The following is an 18,220-nucleotide window of genomic DNA, read 5'->3' as shown; positions in this document are numbered from 1 at the left end:
CAGATTCTTTTTTTTTTTTTTTTTTTTGAGACAGAGTCTCGCTCTGTCACCTAGGCCGGAGTGCAATGGCACTATGTTGGCTCACTGCATCTTCCGCCTCCCAGGTTCAAGCAATTCTCGTGCCTCAGCCTCCAGAGTAGCTGGGATTACAGGTGTGTGCCACTATGTCTAGCTGTTTTGTATTTTCAGTAGAGACGGGGTTTCACCATGTTGGCTAAGCTGGTCTTGAACTCCTGACCTCAAGTGATCTGCCTCCCTTGGCCTCCCAAAGTGTTGGGATTACAGGCGTGAGCCACTGCACCTGGCCTTTTCAGACATTTTAAGTGTGTATTTGTGCAAATACTTCTGTAGAATAAATTCCTAGGATTGTTGGGTGAAAGGGCATATGTACTTTATATTTTGATTGTTACTATCAAATTGCCCTCAGCAGGGTTTGAGACTGCCTGTTTTTGCATATCTGCTCCAATACTGTATACTATTCATCTTGTGTATCTTTGCCAGACTGACAGGTAAAAATGTGTTCTTTTAATTTACATTTCTCTGATTGTCAACAAGGTTAAACTTTTTGCATAAGTTAATTTGTCATTTGTCTTGCTTCATCTGTGAAATGACTGAATCTATTTTTTGTTCATTTTATCTTTTGGATTGTTTTGTTTATGTTTTTTCTCATTGGTTTGTAAATATTATGGTTACTTTTTATCTCATATGCATTGTAAATATTTCCCCCTGTTGGTTATTTAAATGTCTACCAAATAATCATTTGCCTTGCATGATCCACATTACAATTAAAAAATTTCTTCTTCTCATTCACTAAAAACAGTCCTTAATTACTTTTGACTTGTTAGCTCAAGAAGGCAGAAGAAACACAGAATTCTGCCTTCAGGTGCTGTGAAATACCCAGTGAATTAAGAGATTGTGTGGAGAGGCTTAGAGTTTTACATATCCATGGAACTGGATATTTTATATGAAACTTTCACATAGATTTATCTAACATGACTTTGGCTTTGTGCAGTAAGTATGGTAGATTTCATTATTTCTGTTGTACAGATGTCCCTGCATCTATAGATTTGGGTTTGAATCCCCACCACATATTAGTTCTGTCACATGGGGCATCATGGTACTTAGGGGGTTATTCCATGTTAATCATATAGGTAACATGTATGGCAAAGTCAGTACGCAATCAGTGTTTGTTCTCTTTCAACTCTTCCACTCTTCAGAGGTGTTAAGAGACACACAGCTTAGATCTAGAGGCTGGCTCTCCTGGCTTGTAGGCCAGGTCTTGTTCTAGTGGACCGTATTGCTCCTCTGAAGAGAGCGTGAGTTCCTGGCCCCTTTAGAAATAAGAACATCACAGTTAGTGTTTACATAAGTCCTTCAGTGCAGGACTGGGCTTTGAGCCTGGACGTTGGTTTTATTTAAAAAGCACATTTCTCACTTATATAAATAATCCTTGTACATTGCTTAAAAATTTGGAAAAAATATTTTTAAAACATTTATAGTCCTACCATTGAGATGGAATGACTGCTTTCACGTTGAAGCATTTCTTTCCAGTATTTCTTCTGGGCATATATATTTTTTTGTTTTACAAATCTGATACAATTTTATTGTATCATTAACATTAATGTCCACATTATAATTTAAACATTTTTCCTTGCTATACAACTTTTTGTTAATGTCATTTTAATTGCTGCAAAATATTTCATTCTGTGGGTTGTATTTCATTATTTATTTTCCTGGTATTAAATGTTTAGATTGAACCCTCTATTAAAAATTATTCAGGAATGTGCTTCCTTCCTATATTTCATGTTCTTTTCTTTTTCTTTTTTTTTGTCTTTAGAGACAAGGTTTCACTCTGTCGCCCAGGCTGGAGTGCAGCAGCATGAACATAGCTCACTGCACCCTTGAACTCCTGGCCTCAAGTGATCCTCCCACCCCAGCCTCCAAACTAGCTAGGACTAAAGGTGTGCGCCCCCATGCCAGCTAATTTTTGTATATATATATTTTTTTTTGTAGAGATGGGGTTTCCATATGTTGCCCAGGCTGGTCTTGAACTCTTGGCCTCAACGATCCTCTGGCTTGAGCCTCCCAGATTGCTAGGATTACAGGTGTGCGTCACTGCACCCAGCATATTTCATATTACTTTCTTAAGCTAACTTTCCAAAAATGAAATAATTAGACCACACGGAATATACATTTTAAGGCTTTTGGAATATATGGCCAAATTGCTTTCCAAAATAGTTTTAGCAATTTATGCTCAGCTCTGAGGGTTCCTATAAATACTTACTTTTGAAGAATATAATGACAAATACTGGAGAAGAGAGTGAAACAAATGAATCTTCTCCAACCTATGGGCCCTGTCTTCACCAAATACTTAATTCTAATCATAAGTGCATAGTTCAAAGTGGGGCATTTTGATATGGCTATTTTGGTGTGGCCATTATGCCTAATTTGAAACAGCCATATCACAATGTAAACTCACTCTTTTTAATATTCAAATAATGTATTCAGTAGACATGCTTGGCTTTCTCTTTATCCTTGACCTTCTTTTTTTATTTTTAAAATAAAAAGAGGTGGTGTCTCACTATGTTGCCCGGGCTAGTCGTGAACGCCTAGCCTCAAGTGATCCTTCCACCTCGGCCTCCCAAAGTGCTGGGATTCTAGGTGTGAGCCACTGTGCCTGGCTCATCCTTGACCTTCTCATTAGTTCTAACTCCTTATGTCATCCCTGATCTTCTACCCAGAGGTAGGGCTTAAGCATTTCACATACTTTGGCAGTTTTATTGCCAAAAGTTTTGATAGGTGATTTCTTTTTTTTTTTTTGAGACAGAGTCTTGCTCTGTCGCCCAGGCTGGAGTGCAGTGGTGCGATCTCAGCTCACAGCAACCTCCACCTCCTGGGTTCACACCATTCTCCTGCCTCAGCCTCCCGAGTAGCTGGGACCATAGGCGCCCGCCACCACGCCCAGCTAATTTTTTGTATTTTTAGTAGACGGGGTTTCACCATGTCAGCCAGAATGGTCTCGATCTCTTGACCTCATGCTCCACCCACCTCAGCCTCCCAAAGTGTTGGGATTACAGGCATGAGCCACTGCACCCAGCCAGTTTTGATAGGTGATTTCTTAGGTTTTGTCAAAATATTTCTGGAGTTAAAAAAAAGGGGGAGGGGGTTACATTAAGAGCTGCATTAAAATGTCATATGCCATCATTAGCTATTAGGGAAATGAAAATCAAAACCACAGTGAAATACCACTTCATACCTATTGGGTTATCTATAATAAATAAGACAGATAGTACATGTTGGCAGGGTTGTGGAGAAATTGGAACCCTCATACACTCTTGGTGGGGCTGTAAAATGGTGCAGCCATTTTGAAAAACAATTTGGCAGTTCCTCAAATGTTAAACATCCTAGCAGTTCTCTCCTGATATATACCCAAGAGAAACCCAAGAGAAACGAAAACATATGTGCACATAACAACTTGTACACTAATGTTCATAGTAGCATTATTCACAATAGCCAGAAAGTGGAAACAATCCAAATGTCCACCATAAGGTAGTATGCAACCTGATGGAAGCTGTAACAGTACTCTAAACTTTCTTCGTAAGAATGAGCTTTGTTTTTTTCAGGGAAATTTTGAATATTTTCCTGAAGAACAAAGTTCAGACTCCTTATGAAGGCTCCATATGATGCTTTTCACAACCCAAGATGCATTATGTCTTGGTGGGTGTAAGCATGAGCTTTAGACCTACACAGATAGGGGTTTGAAACAACTCAATGTGTAGCTTTTGGCATATTTTGCTCTGAAACTCAGTTTCTTTTTCTGTAAAATGGGCATAATACAACCATATTTCATGGAGTTATTTATTGCCAGCATAAAAAGCTATAATCATGTAAAGTGCCAAGTACATAATGAAGACTCAGTTGAATATTTAAAAAAATTAACACTTGGCCCTAACCTTCTCTAGGCTTATTTCCCATATTCCTTGAACTTTATGCACTACTGACACCACACTGCATGTGGTTTGCTTGAGCCTTCATGCTGTGCTATTCCTCTTGACCTTTGTTCATGTTTTTCCTCCTCTGAATGCTCCCTCCCTTTGTTTGGCTACCTTTTTACGTATCCTTCAAGAATTAAGTTTTACCTCATCTTTTCCATATATCTTCCCTGACTCCCACACACATGCCCCAGGCTAGGCTAAGTCCCCTTCCTTGGGTCATTTAGAGTATTTTATATGTATCTCAATTTGATTAGTTTTTTCAAAGAAGCAACTTTTGACTTTATTGATCATCTCCATTGTATCTTTTTTTCTATTTCATGGCTTGCTGCTCTTTATTACTTCTTCTCTTCTACTTTTTGAGGTTTATTTTGTTGTTCTTTTTCCAATATTAAGTTGGCTGCTTTGCTAATAAAAGCACTCAAGACTACAAATTTGCCTCTAACTACTGCTTTAGCTACACCTATGAGTTTTATTATGCAGTATTTAAAAAATCACCTTGTAGTTCTATGTATTTTACATTTTCATGAAGATTTCTTCCTTGACCCATGGGTTATTTAGATTTGTGTTTCAAGAACATTTCTAAGCAAATAAGGTTATTTCTACTTATCTTTTTGTTATTAATTTCTAACTTAATTTCATTGTGGTTAGAGGATGTTTTTTCTTTCCTTCCTCCTTCCTCCCATCTTTTTTTTTTTTTTTTGCAGGTTTTTGCTTTATGGTCTAATACATGGTCAGTTTTTGCAAATGTTCCATGTATGCTTGAAAACAACATGCATTCTCTAGTTATTGAAAGCAATATTTTACATATGTATGTTAGATTAACTTATGAATTGCATTATATAAATTTTGTAGCCCTGATTTTTGTCCAATATTTTACATATGTGTGTTAGATTAACTTGTGAATTGTATTATATAAATTTTATAGCCCTGATTTTTGTCTGATCTATTAAGAGTTATGTTAAAAATTTCTTCTGTGATTGTGATTTCATATCTTTTTTAATTGATTTTTTTTCTTGTTCATTTTCTCCCTGCACTAGTCTGGAAGTTACATATTCTATTTTTATTCTTCTATTGATTACCCTAGAAAATTTAATATGTGTGTATAATTTCACAAAGCCTAAGGTTACTGTCTTTATTCTCTTTTTAACAATGCAAGGATCTTTAGTATGCTTTTTCATTTTGGCCACATCACTTCCAACATATATGCGTTTGTTGTCCAATATTTTAGTCCTATCTTATTCTTTTTTGAACTTCACAAATTAGGCGTTATTGGTATTTTATATAGTCTGTGTCCTTTTGAGTTACCCACATTTGCCATTTTCTTTGTTTGCTATTCTATTTTACAACTCAGACCTACCTTCTGGGGTCATTTCCTTTCTCTTGGAAGTATGTTTTAATAAACTCAGTTTTTATTTGTCCAAAATTACCTTCATTTTCTCCTCGTTCTTGAAAAATAGTGTTGCTGTACATACTGTTCTAAGTTGATAGCTATAGGGTCTCAGCGCTTTGAAGATATGCCACTGTTTTTTCATTTCCATTTTGCTGTTGAGAAGTCAGTTGTCAGTCTAATTTTTTCTTCTGCTAGTAAAATGTCTTTCATTCTGGCTGTTTTTAAAATCCCTTTGTCTTAGATGTCTTCGCTGTCAGTAAGACATTTCTAGGTGAGGATTTCTTCTGATTTATTCTTCTTGGGATTTGTTGGGATTCTTGTCTCTGAGGTTTGGTGTCTTATCAATTATGGAAATACTGTCTCTCATCCACTCTCTTCTGTCTTTTTGGAATTCTGATTTAGGTGTTAGGCCTTTTTTTTTTTTTTGATGGTGATCTTATGTTCCTTGGAACTTTACTTGCTGATCATTCTTTGAGGCTTAGGTTTCAAGTTAGAATCTTCCTTTTATACAGATGCCTCAGGGGGCTCTACTACCCAGAACACTTAAAACTACATTTTTTGGTGTTAGACTTTTCTTTTGGTTATAGGTGTAGGATGAATTCTGACTCCATACTTGGATAGGAAGGTATCATGGTTAGACATTCTGAGCAGAGACTTATTCCTTTTATTTCCCCTTTCCTGAGGCAAGGCCAAAACACAGAAGGTTTGCTTCCAGTTTCACCCACTGAGGATGTGGCATTTCAGAGGGCCTGGCTTGGTATGGGAATTTCCAGTCTGATTCTTGCCTTGCCAGCAGACACTCGGGGGCCGGACCACATGCAGAGGCCAGACCACTGCCAACATGTACAGGGAGCAAGATAACTACACTTTTAAAAAGATCGCTCTGGTTGCCTTATGGAGGATGGCTTACAGACGGCTTGAAGAGTGGAGGCAGAGAGGCAAGTTAGGATGCTATTATAAACCTCAGGAGAGAGGTGTTGGCCCTGGGACAGACAGAATGGTGGTGGATGGGGAAGATTATTGATTAAGATGATCTGTCTCTTCCCATAGACTGTAAGATACCCAGCCTCAGGGTGAGTATCATCACAAAGATGTTGTTTTTCATCTCTGAGTCCTTCCAGTGCCTGGCACAGAGAAGGCATTCACAGATGCTGATTGAATTGAACTGTGGAATCAATAATGGTTCTAGAGCTGATTTTTTTTTCTACCTTCTAAATGACTGTTTTCCTTAAAGGGAAATGACATGAAGGGATTCCAGGCAGTGAACTCATGCCTGTCTCTGGCATTGCGAAGCCCAGTCCAGAAATAGAGAGCCAGCTGTTTGTAAGCCCAAAAGCCTTAGGTTTTGGAAGGGTTTACTTTCCATGATAACATAGCTTTCTTTAGCCTGTGCACTTGTTCCTTACTTAAGGAGTCTCAGACTCTGCTTGAGATTACTTACACAAAACCTTACCATCTTACTGGATTTTTATGGCATTTTCTTAGAAATTACTAAACTTTATGACTCTCTAGGCAGGTTGCAAAGATGTTCCTCTAATGATATATTACAGCTATGAAAACTTCTTCCTCCTAAGGCGTTCTTTTTGGAAAAATGCTCTGTGTTTAGAGAACGAAGGGAGAGGCAAGTGGTTCCTGCTGTGTGACAGTTTAATAAGCTTTAGCTGGTCACTAAGAACTGTTATTCTAAGAATGTATGCAACACTTTTCCATTAACTGTGCAGAAGTATTTCTAGAAGGTATGGTAAAATAAAGCATATATATTGAGGCCTGGAAGTTCTTTATTATTCATTCAACAAATATGTGTTGAATGTCTGCTGTGGCCCAAGGCCTGTGCAAGGCACGGGTGATCACTATCAGACACCATCCCTGTGATCCCTACTCGCCCATCATGTTTTGTGTGAATTAGAAAAAGGGACCCATTCCTCAAGGAAAGAATATTAAATTCATCAATATAGTACTTACATATCAATAGCAAATTTGTTACAATAATGGATTATTAATGATAAATGAATGTTGGTTATTAATATTTATATAGTATTGTTGATTTGAACTTGAAATTCAAAAATATTCTGCCACAGTAAGCAAACAGCAGATTATTGAATTACAATATGAATGTGAATCTGATACCAATGAGGGATTTTTAAAAAAATTTAAAGGGACTCATCAATCATCTATCAAATGTCAAAGCAGATCCCTATTTAGAAACACAGACTATTTTAGATATGATTACATCAACAAGGTCTTTTTTTTTTTTTTAAGAGACCAGGGTGTCTTGCTGTCTTGCCCAGGCTGGAGGGCAGTGGCACAATATCAAATTCCTGGGCTCAAACCATCCTCCTACCTCAGCCTTCCGAGTAGCTGGGACTAGGCTCATGCCAACCCACTCAGCTATTTTTTTTTTTTTTTGTAGAGACGAAAGTCTTATTGTATTGCCCAGGTTGCTCAAACTCCTGGTCTCAAGCAATCCTCCTGCCTCAGCCTCCCAAAGTGCTGGGATTGTAGGTGTGAGCCACAATGCCCAGCACATGGTCTCTTGATTATTGAATTTGTCAAAGGGGAACAATACATACTGGCTTATTAAAATAAGACATGACTGCCATTGCCAGAAAATTCTTGTTGTAAATAAAAAAACCACCCAAATATAAAATCATCTGATGTTAGTTTACAAAACCAAAATATTTCTCAATTCCCAGTTTAAATCAACAAGTACCTTCATGATGACAATATGTTATACAATAACTTACATTTGTTATCATGAATAATCCATTTGTTATACAGCTTATAATTGTAAAAATATTCCATATGTTAAAGTGTTAAAGATGTTTACCTGTGAACAGCATCATGGTACTCTTTTTTTTTTTTTTTTAATTGAGATGAAGCCTTGCTCTGTCGCCCAGGCTGGAGTGCAGTGGCACGATCTCGGCTCACTGCAACCTCCGCCTCCCAGGTTCAAGCAATTCTCCTGCCTCAGCTTCCCAACTTGCTGGTATTATATGTGCGCACCACCACACCTGGCTAATTTTTTGTATATTTGGTAAAGATGGGGTCTCACCATGCTGGCCAAGCTGGTCTCAAACTCCTGACCTCAAATGATCCACCTGCCTCAGCCTCCCAAAGTGCTGGGATTACAGGTGTAAGCCACTGCGCCCGGCCAGCATCATGGCACTCTTGTACATGACTTAAAAAGCCACACATGGTGGCCTTGGATGCTCTGTGCTGGGGGAAGCAGACGTAGCTGATGAGTCCACTGTGGGCTGCTAAGAGCCCTATTGGAAGTATGTACAAATATGGTGGGTGACAGAGGAAGGCAAGATGAGGTCAGCCTGGAGGTAGAGAAAGGCTTGTGTGAATGAGAGGCTTCTGGGCAAGTAAGGGCCATGGCCTTTTTAACATATTTTGGCTGTAAGTAGCCTTTAAGCCTTCTTTCCTGGTTCTGGCTACTTTCTGGATACATGAGATAGCTGTGTTCCAGATTGGTGAGGTGTTTCTATCTTTAGATAGACTATCTGATCTTCTTTCTGCCTGCCTACAACTTCCCCTGTCTTCAGGTCTCAGCTTAAATCTCACTTTCTTTAAGAAGCCTTCCCAGCTCCTTCCTTCCCCACCTTGGGTTGATGCTCCTGCTTTGTGCTCCTTCAGACCCCATCATAGCATGAATCAACTTTATTGTGATGATTGCTTGTTTGATTTTCTTTCTTTCCCACAAGATTTTATTTTATTTTATTTCATTTTCTGAGATGGAGTCTCACTTTGTTGCCCAGGCTGGAGTGCAGTGGTGCAATCTTGGCTCACTGCAACCACTGGCTCCCAGGTTCAAGTGATTCTTGTGCCTCAGCCTCCCGAGTAACTGGGATTACAGGTGCATGCCACCATGCCTGGCTAATTTTTTGTATTTTAGTAGAGATGGGGTTTCACTATGTTGCCCAGGGTGGTCTCAAATTCCTGATCTCAAGTGATCCGCCTATCTCAGCTTCCCAAAGTGCTGGGATTATAGGTGTGAGCCACCACCCCTGGCCTCCCACCAGATTTTAAATTCAATAAGTGCAAGGGCCACATCTGTCTTGTTCATTATTGTTATTATTGGATCCTCATACTGCACAATGCCTGATAGACGATATAATCAGATTTTGATAAATATTGGCTGAAGTAATTTTCTCATTCATTCCTCAAACATTTTCTAAGCCCTTACTTTGTGCCATGGACCCTGCCAAGCACGGGCAAACAAAGAAATGACACCCTGTGTGTCCCTTCCCCGGAGAGCTCCCTCTCTGCTTATTACTATCCGGTGTAGGAAGCGCGATGTTACAGGGAAGGAGGAGGGGAGGGACGGCTGGCTTAGGTTAAGGGTCAGAGGGGTTCTCCTCTAGGATGCACCTCTGAGCTGGATCTGGAGGATGAGGGGTGAGCAAGGTAGCAGGGGGCAGGGGCTCAGCATGGATTGTGGCATGGTGGCAAGCGAGAACACTGGGTGTTTAGGAGACTGCAAACTTTTATTTTTTTGAGACAGAGTCTTGCTCTGTTGTCCAGGCTGGAGTGCAGTGGCACGATCTCAGCTCACTGAAACCTCCACTTCCCGGGTTCAAGCAATTCGCCTGCCTCAGCCTCCCGAGTAGCTGGGATTACAGGTGTGTGCCATCACACCCTGCTAATTTTTGTATTTTTAGTAGAGACGAGGTTTCACCATGTTGACCAGGCTGGTCTCGAACTCCTGAGCTCAAGTGATCCACCCACCTCAGCCTCCCAAAGTGCTAGGATTACAGGTGTGAGCCACCGCACCTGGCTGACTGCTAACATTTTACTCCGGCTGGATCACAGGATGTGGGAGGAGAGTGAAGGGAATGGATCAGAGAGGTATGCAGGAGCCAAGTCATACAGAACTGAGCTGCAAGCAGAGAGCTCTAGGGAGCCATTGGAAGGTATCTATTTTAAACTTTTAGAGACTGGGTTTTGCTATATTGCCCAGGCTGGCCTCGAACTCTTGAGCTCAAGTGATCCTTCTGCTTCAGCTTTCTGAGTAGCTGGGATTATAGGTGCATACCATCATGCAGGCCTACACTGGAAGGTTTTAAACAGGGGTGTATGTGTGTGTGTGTCTGTGTGTGAAAAATCTGATTTGTATATTAGAAAGACCCATCTGGCTATGGTGTGGAGTGTATTTAGGGGTTGCAGTGGTGAGTTGGAAGTGGGGACACCCTCCTTGAGGGCAGAGAGCATTGCTTCCTCCTCAGTCTCTAACATCTGGCGAGCAGCTGGTGTCCAGTAAGCACTGAAGTGATGCTTTGTGATGGAGTCAATCTGCAGAGACAGCAAGGTAGGATTCAAGAGTCCTTTATTGCAGAATGGCAGCAGAATCACCGCTGTCACTTTACTGAGTCTCCCGCAACCCTCTGAGTGAGTAGGGGAATAGCATTAGTTCCACTTTTCAGGCCAGGTACCTGATCAGGCCTGACCAGAGGACATGTCCCTGGTCACACAATCTTTGTGGGTGGCAGGTCAAGCACCTTCTCCTTCATCCCGTGCTGCACCTAGGGGCTGGGCTGGGGGGCGGCAGCAGTGCTGGGGAGAGCGAGGCTTGCTGGTGTCTCTCCTCTCTAGGGACCACCCTCCTCCTTTCTGCTGAGGGAGTGGCCCAAAGAGGCATCTCCAGGTTTCCAGCCACAGAGGGCCATCTCACTTGTCCCCTCTAGGCAGTGGTGCCCCCTTTCTTGCATCTCCTTCCAGGCAGAGAGAGACAGCGACCCAGGGGGCAGCTGAAAGCTTTCTTCACCAAAGCAGCGGGGAGAGATTTGTGTGCGGCTCGCATTCTCATTGCCTGGGTATCATGCTGCTATTTAATAAAGGCCTCATTGCTTGAAGGGCCATTAAGTAACCAATGACATATTTCAGCCTCACCGAGGAGGAAAACACAGAGTTAAATCAAATTCAGACCGTGTGGAAGTAAAATCCTAAAGAGACTATTCACATGCACGCCCTCTCCTAAGGGGAAGGGAACAAGCCATGGGGTCCACTCTAAGCCAGGCACTGGATAGATGCTTTTGCATTAGTTTTCTTGCTTAAAAAGTTCCAGCAACACTGACAAGCAGAGACTGTGCTGTCAGTTTTGTAGGTGAGGAAATGGAGTGCCCGAGACACTGGCCAGTTAGAGGTAGAACTATCCTCTCAGCCCTTGGTCTCTGATCACACGGTGCCTGCTCCTTCCATGATACCATGCTGCCCTCCTATGGAGCCTGTCCTCTCCATAAGACAAGCAGTGATTGCTTTTCGTGCCAAGGCTGAATGGCAGGGAGGTCAGCAGCCTGTGCCCGTGTACACCATACACCGCCCGAAGGTAGGAACCCCTCTGTCTGCCTCCACACCCTGGCACGATGCTGCACACACAGCCGGATGAAGGCTGGTAGGTTCTTCCTGCCCTGAGGAGGGGAGCGCTGGCCTTTGCTACCCTTTCATCACATTCCTTTTGTCTGTCCTTCCGTCTCCTTCATTCCTCTGTCCCCTCAGAGACACTCGTCCAGCCCTACTGGAAGATCATTTTGAGTCCATCCCAAGACCTTTGCTGGGTAGTAATGAGCAGGTAGATGAATCAGGTTGTGATTCTTCCTCGGGGTGTCACATTTAAAAGGAGACTCTGGATGACAACTTTGTCTGCAGGGGCCGAGGGGACAAGGTACCTCAGGTGGGATGAGGGCTGTGGAGTTGATGTTCTCACACTCAGTTTTTGCTCATGTCCTGGAAAAGCACCTCAAGCCCTCCCTAGCCAGCCTCACCCCTGCCAGGCTTGCCACTGCCCCCACCCCCTGTTGTGCTGTGGCCTAACAGCCCGAGGTAGTTGTGCCACCAACCTTTGCTCACACAGAGCTCTTGGCCTGGAATAACTTTTGTTACCCTGACTCCCTGCTGGCTGAATTGGAGCCCCTTTCAATATCCAGCTCAGTTATGAGCTCCATCTTGAAGCCTCACCTGCCCTGCAGAAGGAGCCACTTCTTCCTGTCTTGTCAGAGCCCTTGGTGTGTCCCTCCCTCTATATGTTGCTCTTCATGGGGGATAATGATTTGCTTAAGAGCCGTGTCTCTCACTAAACCCTAAGAAGTTTGAGGACAGAGATAGTGTTCTGGTGTGTGTGTGTGTGTGCGCGTGTGTGTGTGTGTGTGTGTGTGATTCTCTATGCCTGGCCTAGAGTAGGTGCTCTGGAAGGGATTGTGACCCAGGAGAATGTGAGAATGTATAAGGTGGGGCCAGCGGTGCCATGATGAGCAGGAGCAAGTCCAGTCCTATTATTCTCCTCTCTCTGTCCTCTGGCCTCCTTCTAGGAAAGGCTGTTTTTGTGTGGGGTCACACTGCTGGGTCTTCTCTGGGGCTGTCCAGCAGGGGTCTTCACCTACCCTCACCTGGGAGAGTGACCAGACTCCACTCCCTCGGAGTCCCATCCCTTCTGGCCCTTCTTTTGTTGTTGCTGTTGTTTTTTTGAGACGGAGTCTCACTCTGTCGCCCAGGCTGGAGTGCAATGGCGCGATCCCACTCACTGCAAGCTCCACCTCCTGGGTTCAAGCGATTCTCCCGCCTCAGCTTCCTGAGTAGGTGGGACTACAGGGATGCTCCACCACACCCAGATAATTTTTGTATTTTTAGTAGGACGAGGTTTTGCCATGTTGGCCAGGCTGGTCTCAAACTCCTGACCTCAGGTGATCTGCCTGCCTCAGCCTCCCAAAGTGTTAGGATTACAGGCGTGAGCCACCATGCCCAGCCCCTTCCAGCCTTTCTTGTCTTCTGTCCTGAACCCCTGGCTGACTAGCAGTGAACAAATGAAAACTGGCCACGCACGCTTTGCTTTGAAATGTCTCTGACCTAGCCTGAGGAGGTAGGGCTTAAGTACTCGGGGAGTCTCCCACTGCACAGGTAGGGACCATGCTATTCATCTCTGTATTCCCAGCCCCTTAGAACAGTGCCTGACTCACAGGAGTTGCTCAATGTTGATTTGTTGAACACAAAGGGGTTTTGCATTTCTTGGTCTCTTGTTTTCTTTGTTCACTGTGTGTATTCACTTGAGTAGGATAAACGGTTGTAACGAGTAGGCCCAAATGTGTAAGTTCTCAACATCTGGAAGTCTATTTCTTACTCTTGTGATATGCGCCACTTTCACCTTGGCAGGGTCGTCATTCAGGGGCGCAAGATCCGTCCATCTGTGGCTCTGTCATTCTCTGGGGTCTCTGCATCACCCACACCCAGGCAGCAAAAGGGGACAGAGCATGAAGGAGCACATACAGGAGGTTTTTATAAGTGAGCCCAGGAAGTGGTGCATGTCACTTCTGTCCCATCCCACTGGCTGGAACTCAGGCACCTGGTCACACCCAAGTGCCAGGGAGACTGGGGAATGTAGCCCAGTGTTTTGTCCAGGAATAAGAGGAAATGGATTTCGGTGAACACCCCCCAGTATCTGCCACAATGCAGTGTAGAAAAAGCGCAGGATTTGGAGTCGGCCAAAATCACCTTCAAACCCAGGCTCTGCTTCTTACTAGCTGAGTGCATTTGGGTGAGTGATTTAACTTCTTTGAGCCTTAGTTTCCTCAGCTGAATGATGGGGTATAATAACCCCCACCTTAGAGGAGGGTTGAGAGATAATGTTGGAACAGTCCCAATGGTACATAATAAGTATCCAACAATATAACTATTACTATTAATACTATGTGGACTTTTATCTTTATTATTACTGTATATCCCAGTTTTATTGATTAGCAATTTAATAACATGCACGTGATAATGAATTTACATAGTAGACCAGTACATCCCACCTATAGTTCCCTTCCTCAGAGGCAAACCACCTGGAGCAGTTTTCTTGGTCTGTTTCCAGAGGTATACATATCTAGGTATATATTGTATAAATAGCCCTTTTTATGTACCTAATGTTTTAATATAATCCACTCGATTCTGTTCCTTTTATATAATTTAGTAATATAACTTAGCTATTGTTTTGTATCGTTATATATTGATTTACTGCATCCTTTTTCATGGCTACATCACATTCCATAATACAAATGTACCATCATTTACTTAATTAATGCCCTATTGACACACCCTTGGCTACCTACAGGGTGTTACCACTGTATGTAAAGCTGCAATGACCATATCCTTGTATATATGTCTTTGTGTACTTGTGTAAGAATATCGTAGGATAAAAATCTAGGAATGACATCATGCATTTAATTCTCTTCAAAACTAAGGTATAAAATTTGGAATGTTTTCACTCTGGTAACTATTGTGGAGTGAAAGAATTAGGACTTGAGATTTGGCTTGTCATAAGAAGTGGGAAATTAAGTACATTGTTTACATTTAAAACCTTTTGCTCAGGCTGGGCATGGTGGCTCACACCTGCAATCCCGGCACTTTGGGAGGCAGAGGTGGGTGGATCACGTGAGGTCAGGAGTTCAAGACCAGCCTGACCAACATGGTGAAACCCTGTCTCTACTAAAAATACAAAAATTAGCTGGGCGTGGCAGTGGGCGCCTGTAGTCCCAGCTACCCGGGAGACTGAGGCAGAAGATCCTGGCTGCAGTGAGCTGAGATCGCGCCATTGCACTCCAGCCTGGGTGACAGAACGAGACTCTGTCTCAAATAAATTAATAAATAAAAAATCTTTTGCTCACATAGAGTTTTGTATCCTCTTCTCATGGTGCCTTGGATTTAGATTCTGCAGCAGTAATATTGGCAGATTTATAAACCAATGCAAACCTACTCTTAGTTTATCTTCCCACATGAATAAGTTGTCTACCAGCTTTCCGAAGCCCATACCTGTCAAAGAAGTCAGATTCACCGTAATAGAAACAAAGTGCCTCTTTTGTTTTTGTTTTGAGTGGTAGAGAAGCAAACACATTTGAGGACTTTTCTGTGTTAGGGAGTTTTTATAGGTTATTTTATTAATTCTTACAAATCCTTTGAGGTGCAATTATTATTCCTGTTTTCCAAACAAAGAAGGGGATGGGTTCACAAAGGTTGAGTGACTTGCCCAAGGTATGCAGAACTAGGATTTGAACTCAAGTCTTGATGTCATTATGATATGGGCTGGCTTTGTGTCCCTACCCAAATCTCATCTTGAATTGTAATCCCCATAATCCCTATGTGTCAAGGGAGAGACCAGGTGAAGGTAATTGAATCATGGGGGAAGTTTCTCCCATGCTGTTCTCATGATAGTGAGTGAGTTCTCATGAGATCTGATGGTTTTATAAGGGTCTCTTCCCCTTTTGCTTGGTACTTCTCCTTCCTGCTGCCTTGTGAAGAAGGTGCCTTGCTTCCCCTTCTGTCATGATTTTAAGTTTCCTGAGGCCTCCCTAGCCATGCTGAACTGTGAGTCAAACCTTCTTCCTTTGTAAATTACCCAGTCTGGGGCAGTTCTTGATAACAGTATGAAAACGGACCATACTACTCTGGACTTAATTAGGGGATTCAGCAGAACATTCCTGGATATCAAATAAGTTTTACCGATTGTGTAGACATTTGCTGATTTGCAGTGCTTCTGAGAGATTCTGTGGCCTCTCTAAGCTTAGTGGAGAAAGGGAGTCATGTCTGTTATGGCCCCAAACTTGGTTTTTAGCATGCTTAGTCCTAAAGTCATGGATCCAGCAATTCTCAGGTGACCAGTCCTGTCTTCACAGTCAGCTCTGCTGGTTTCCATCTTTCCGTGGTCTCCACCCCTTAGTTCTAAGGCAAGATTGCTGTCTGTGTGACCCTGGACTCTGGCTCAGTGATTTTTTTTTGTCCTTCCCTGTTGTCTCCCACTCCACCCCCTGCACCTTTGATTAAACTTCTCTTCTTGTGTCTTCTCTCTCTTAGTAAAGGGAAATCATTTAAAGCACTTTTTAAATTGGATGACATTATTATCACTAAGATGACCTATAAACCCTACAAGCCTACCACCACCACCACCACCACCACCACCACTAACAACAACAACAACAACAACAACACTCTGCTCCCCAGTCCACCAGCCTTTGAGCTGGTGTCACTTCAGTCTGTAGTCTGCTATCATTTTTGGAACATGCATTCAGTTCTTACAGCTTCCAGGAAATCTATTACCTAAGAACAAAATTAGCACATTAACACTCCCCCTCCTTCTACTCCACCCCCATTTAAGAACGTCCTACCCAGAGAACCAAACTGTAATTCAATCCACTGTACACTGGGAAGGGCCTGTTTTTCTGCAATATAGCTTAGAATCAGTACTTTGTGCCTGTGAGTGTCTCTTTTTAAGATTTAATATGTCTTTATTAACTGCTGATTACATATTAGTACAGTCCCTCTCTTGCTGGGCTATAAATTCACTCTTGTTTTATTATTCATTGACAAACATTTGTTAATGACCTGATAGTGTCAGGCCACCCCCTCCATTATCTCACCTATTCCTCAGAATAAGTCTACGATGGAGGTAATCATTAGCCCCATGTGCAGTTTGGGAAAATGCAGCTCAGAGAGGTTCATTAATTTATCTATGTTTGTCTAGTAAGTGGTAGGTCTGGGATTTGAACCCGGGTTGTTTGGATTCTAAATCCATAACCTCTCCCAGCTGAAAGCCAAGGCTTGTAGTTTCTTATTATCTTGCTGCTTCCGTGAGTCTACTCAAGTCCTTAATTAGTGATGACTGGAAATTAGTAGTGTGTTACTGAGCCTCCTGGTGTGGGAATCAGTTTTGTTTTGACAGAAGTCACATAACCTATGCTAAGAAGACATTACTTAATCCAGAATGAGAGACTGTAAAAACCCATAGGAAACCCGGAAGAAAGGAGGGGCAGCATTTTTATTTGACTGGCTGGCTGATTGACCTCCAGAGGTTTTTATTTTTTACCCATTCCTTTTCTTCTTGCGAGGCTAAATTACTTCGAGGAACTCTACCCAGTTCTTAAAATTGGCCAGGAGATTGCAGTTAAGTAAACGATTGTTTTGGGTTTTAGGTTTCCTGGAGCCATAACTTAGCATCTCCCAAACTTGTCTGATCCTAAGAATCACCTGGGGCATTTGTTAAAATGTGATTTCCCAGTAGGGATGGGACCTAGGGACTATTTATTTTTTTTAACAAGCCCCTTTACGTGATTCTTCTGATCAACTAGTTTGGGAGACACTGAGTGTCACCACTGGGAATTTGGTCCCCTTTGTGGACCATCCTCTTTAGAATTGAAGCACCAAGGCTCACATTATCTTACAGTGGAGGGAACATGAATTTTGGAGTCAGAAAGCACAGGTCTGAGAACCCCAAGCTGCCCCTTATAAATTGGGTTAATCTTGGACACATAACTGAGTGTTCTAATCTTAAGACCTCTGTGTGCCATTTCCTCTGCCTAGAAAGAAAAAATTGTTCTCCTTTCTCTCCCCACCTCTTCCCTCCTCCTTTGTCTTCTTACTCTTCAGCTTTCAGGAAAGCATTCCTTGATTCCTCCCAAGCTGGGTCACTCGTAATTATTTTTGTAATGAGTTCTTGTGTCTGTCATCCCCCACTAGATTCTAAGCTCAACAAAAGCAGAAACCATGGCTCTATTGTTTATTATTGCACACCCAACACCTAGCACAGTGTAGTGTGAATGACTCAGAGTCTAATTTGTTTCATCTGTAAAATGGATAAATGCTATTGATCAACAGGCATATAGGGAGATTAAAATACTGAGCATGAGAGCAACCAATATACAGTAGACATCTAATAAATGTTAGTTTTTGCCTTCTTTTGAGGAACTCATTTATGATTATTGTGCTGAATAGAATGGATTATAATCAAGGCTTTGAGGGTCTTTGCTTGACCCGCTATCCTAAAAAGTTTCCAGTATTCTTAACATTTTAGAATTTAGCCTTCTTTTCCTCC

General features: G+C 42.3%; 1 protein-coding gene across 8 annotated transcripts in view; it reads left to right on the top strand.

Moving 5' to 3' along the window:
* TTLL11 (tubulin tyrosine ligase like 11) overlaps positions 1–18,220 on the top strand; it is a 277,635-nt gene that overhangs the window by 10,780 nt on the left and 248,635 nt on the right. The window lies entirely within an intron of this gene.

Source organism: Homo sapiens, chromosome 9, assembly GCF_000001405.40.
Source record: "Homo sapiens chromosome 9, GRCh38.p14 Primary Assembly".
Lineage (NCBI taxonomy): Eukaryota > Metazoa > Chordata > Mammalia > Primates > Hominidae > Homo > Homo sapiens.
Note: the sequence above shows the minus strand (reverse complement) of the source record. Positions and strands in the feature narration are given on the sequence as shown.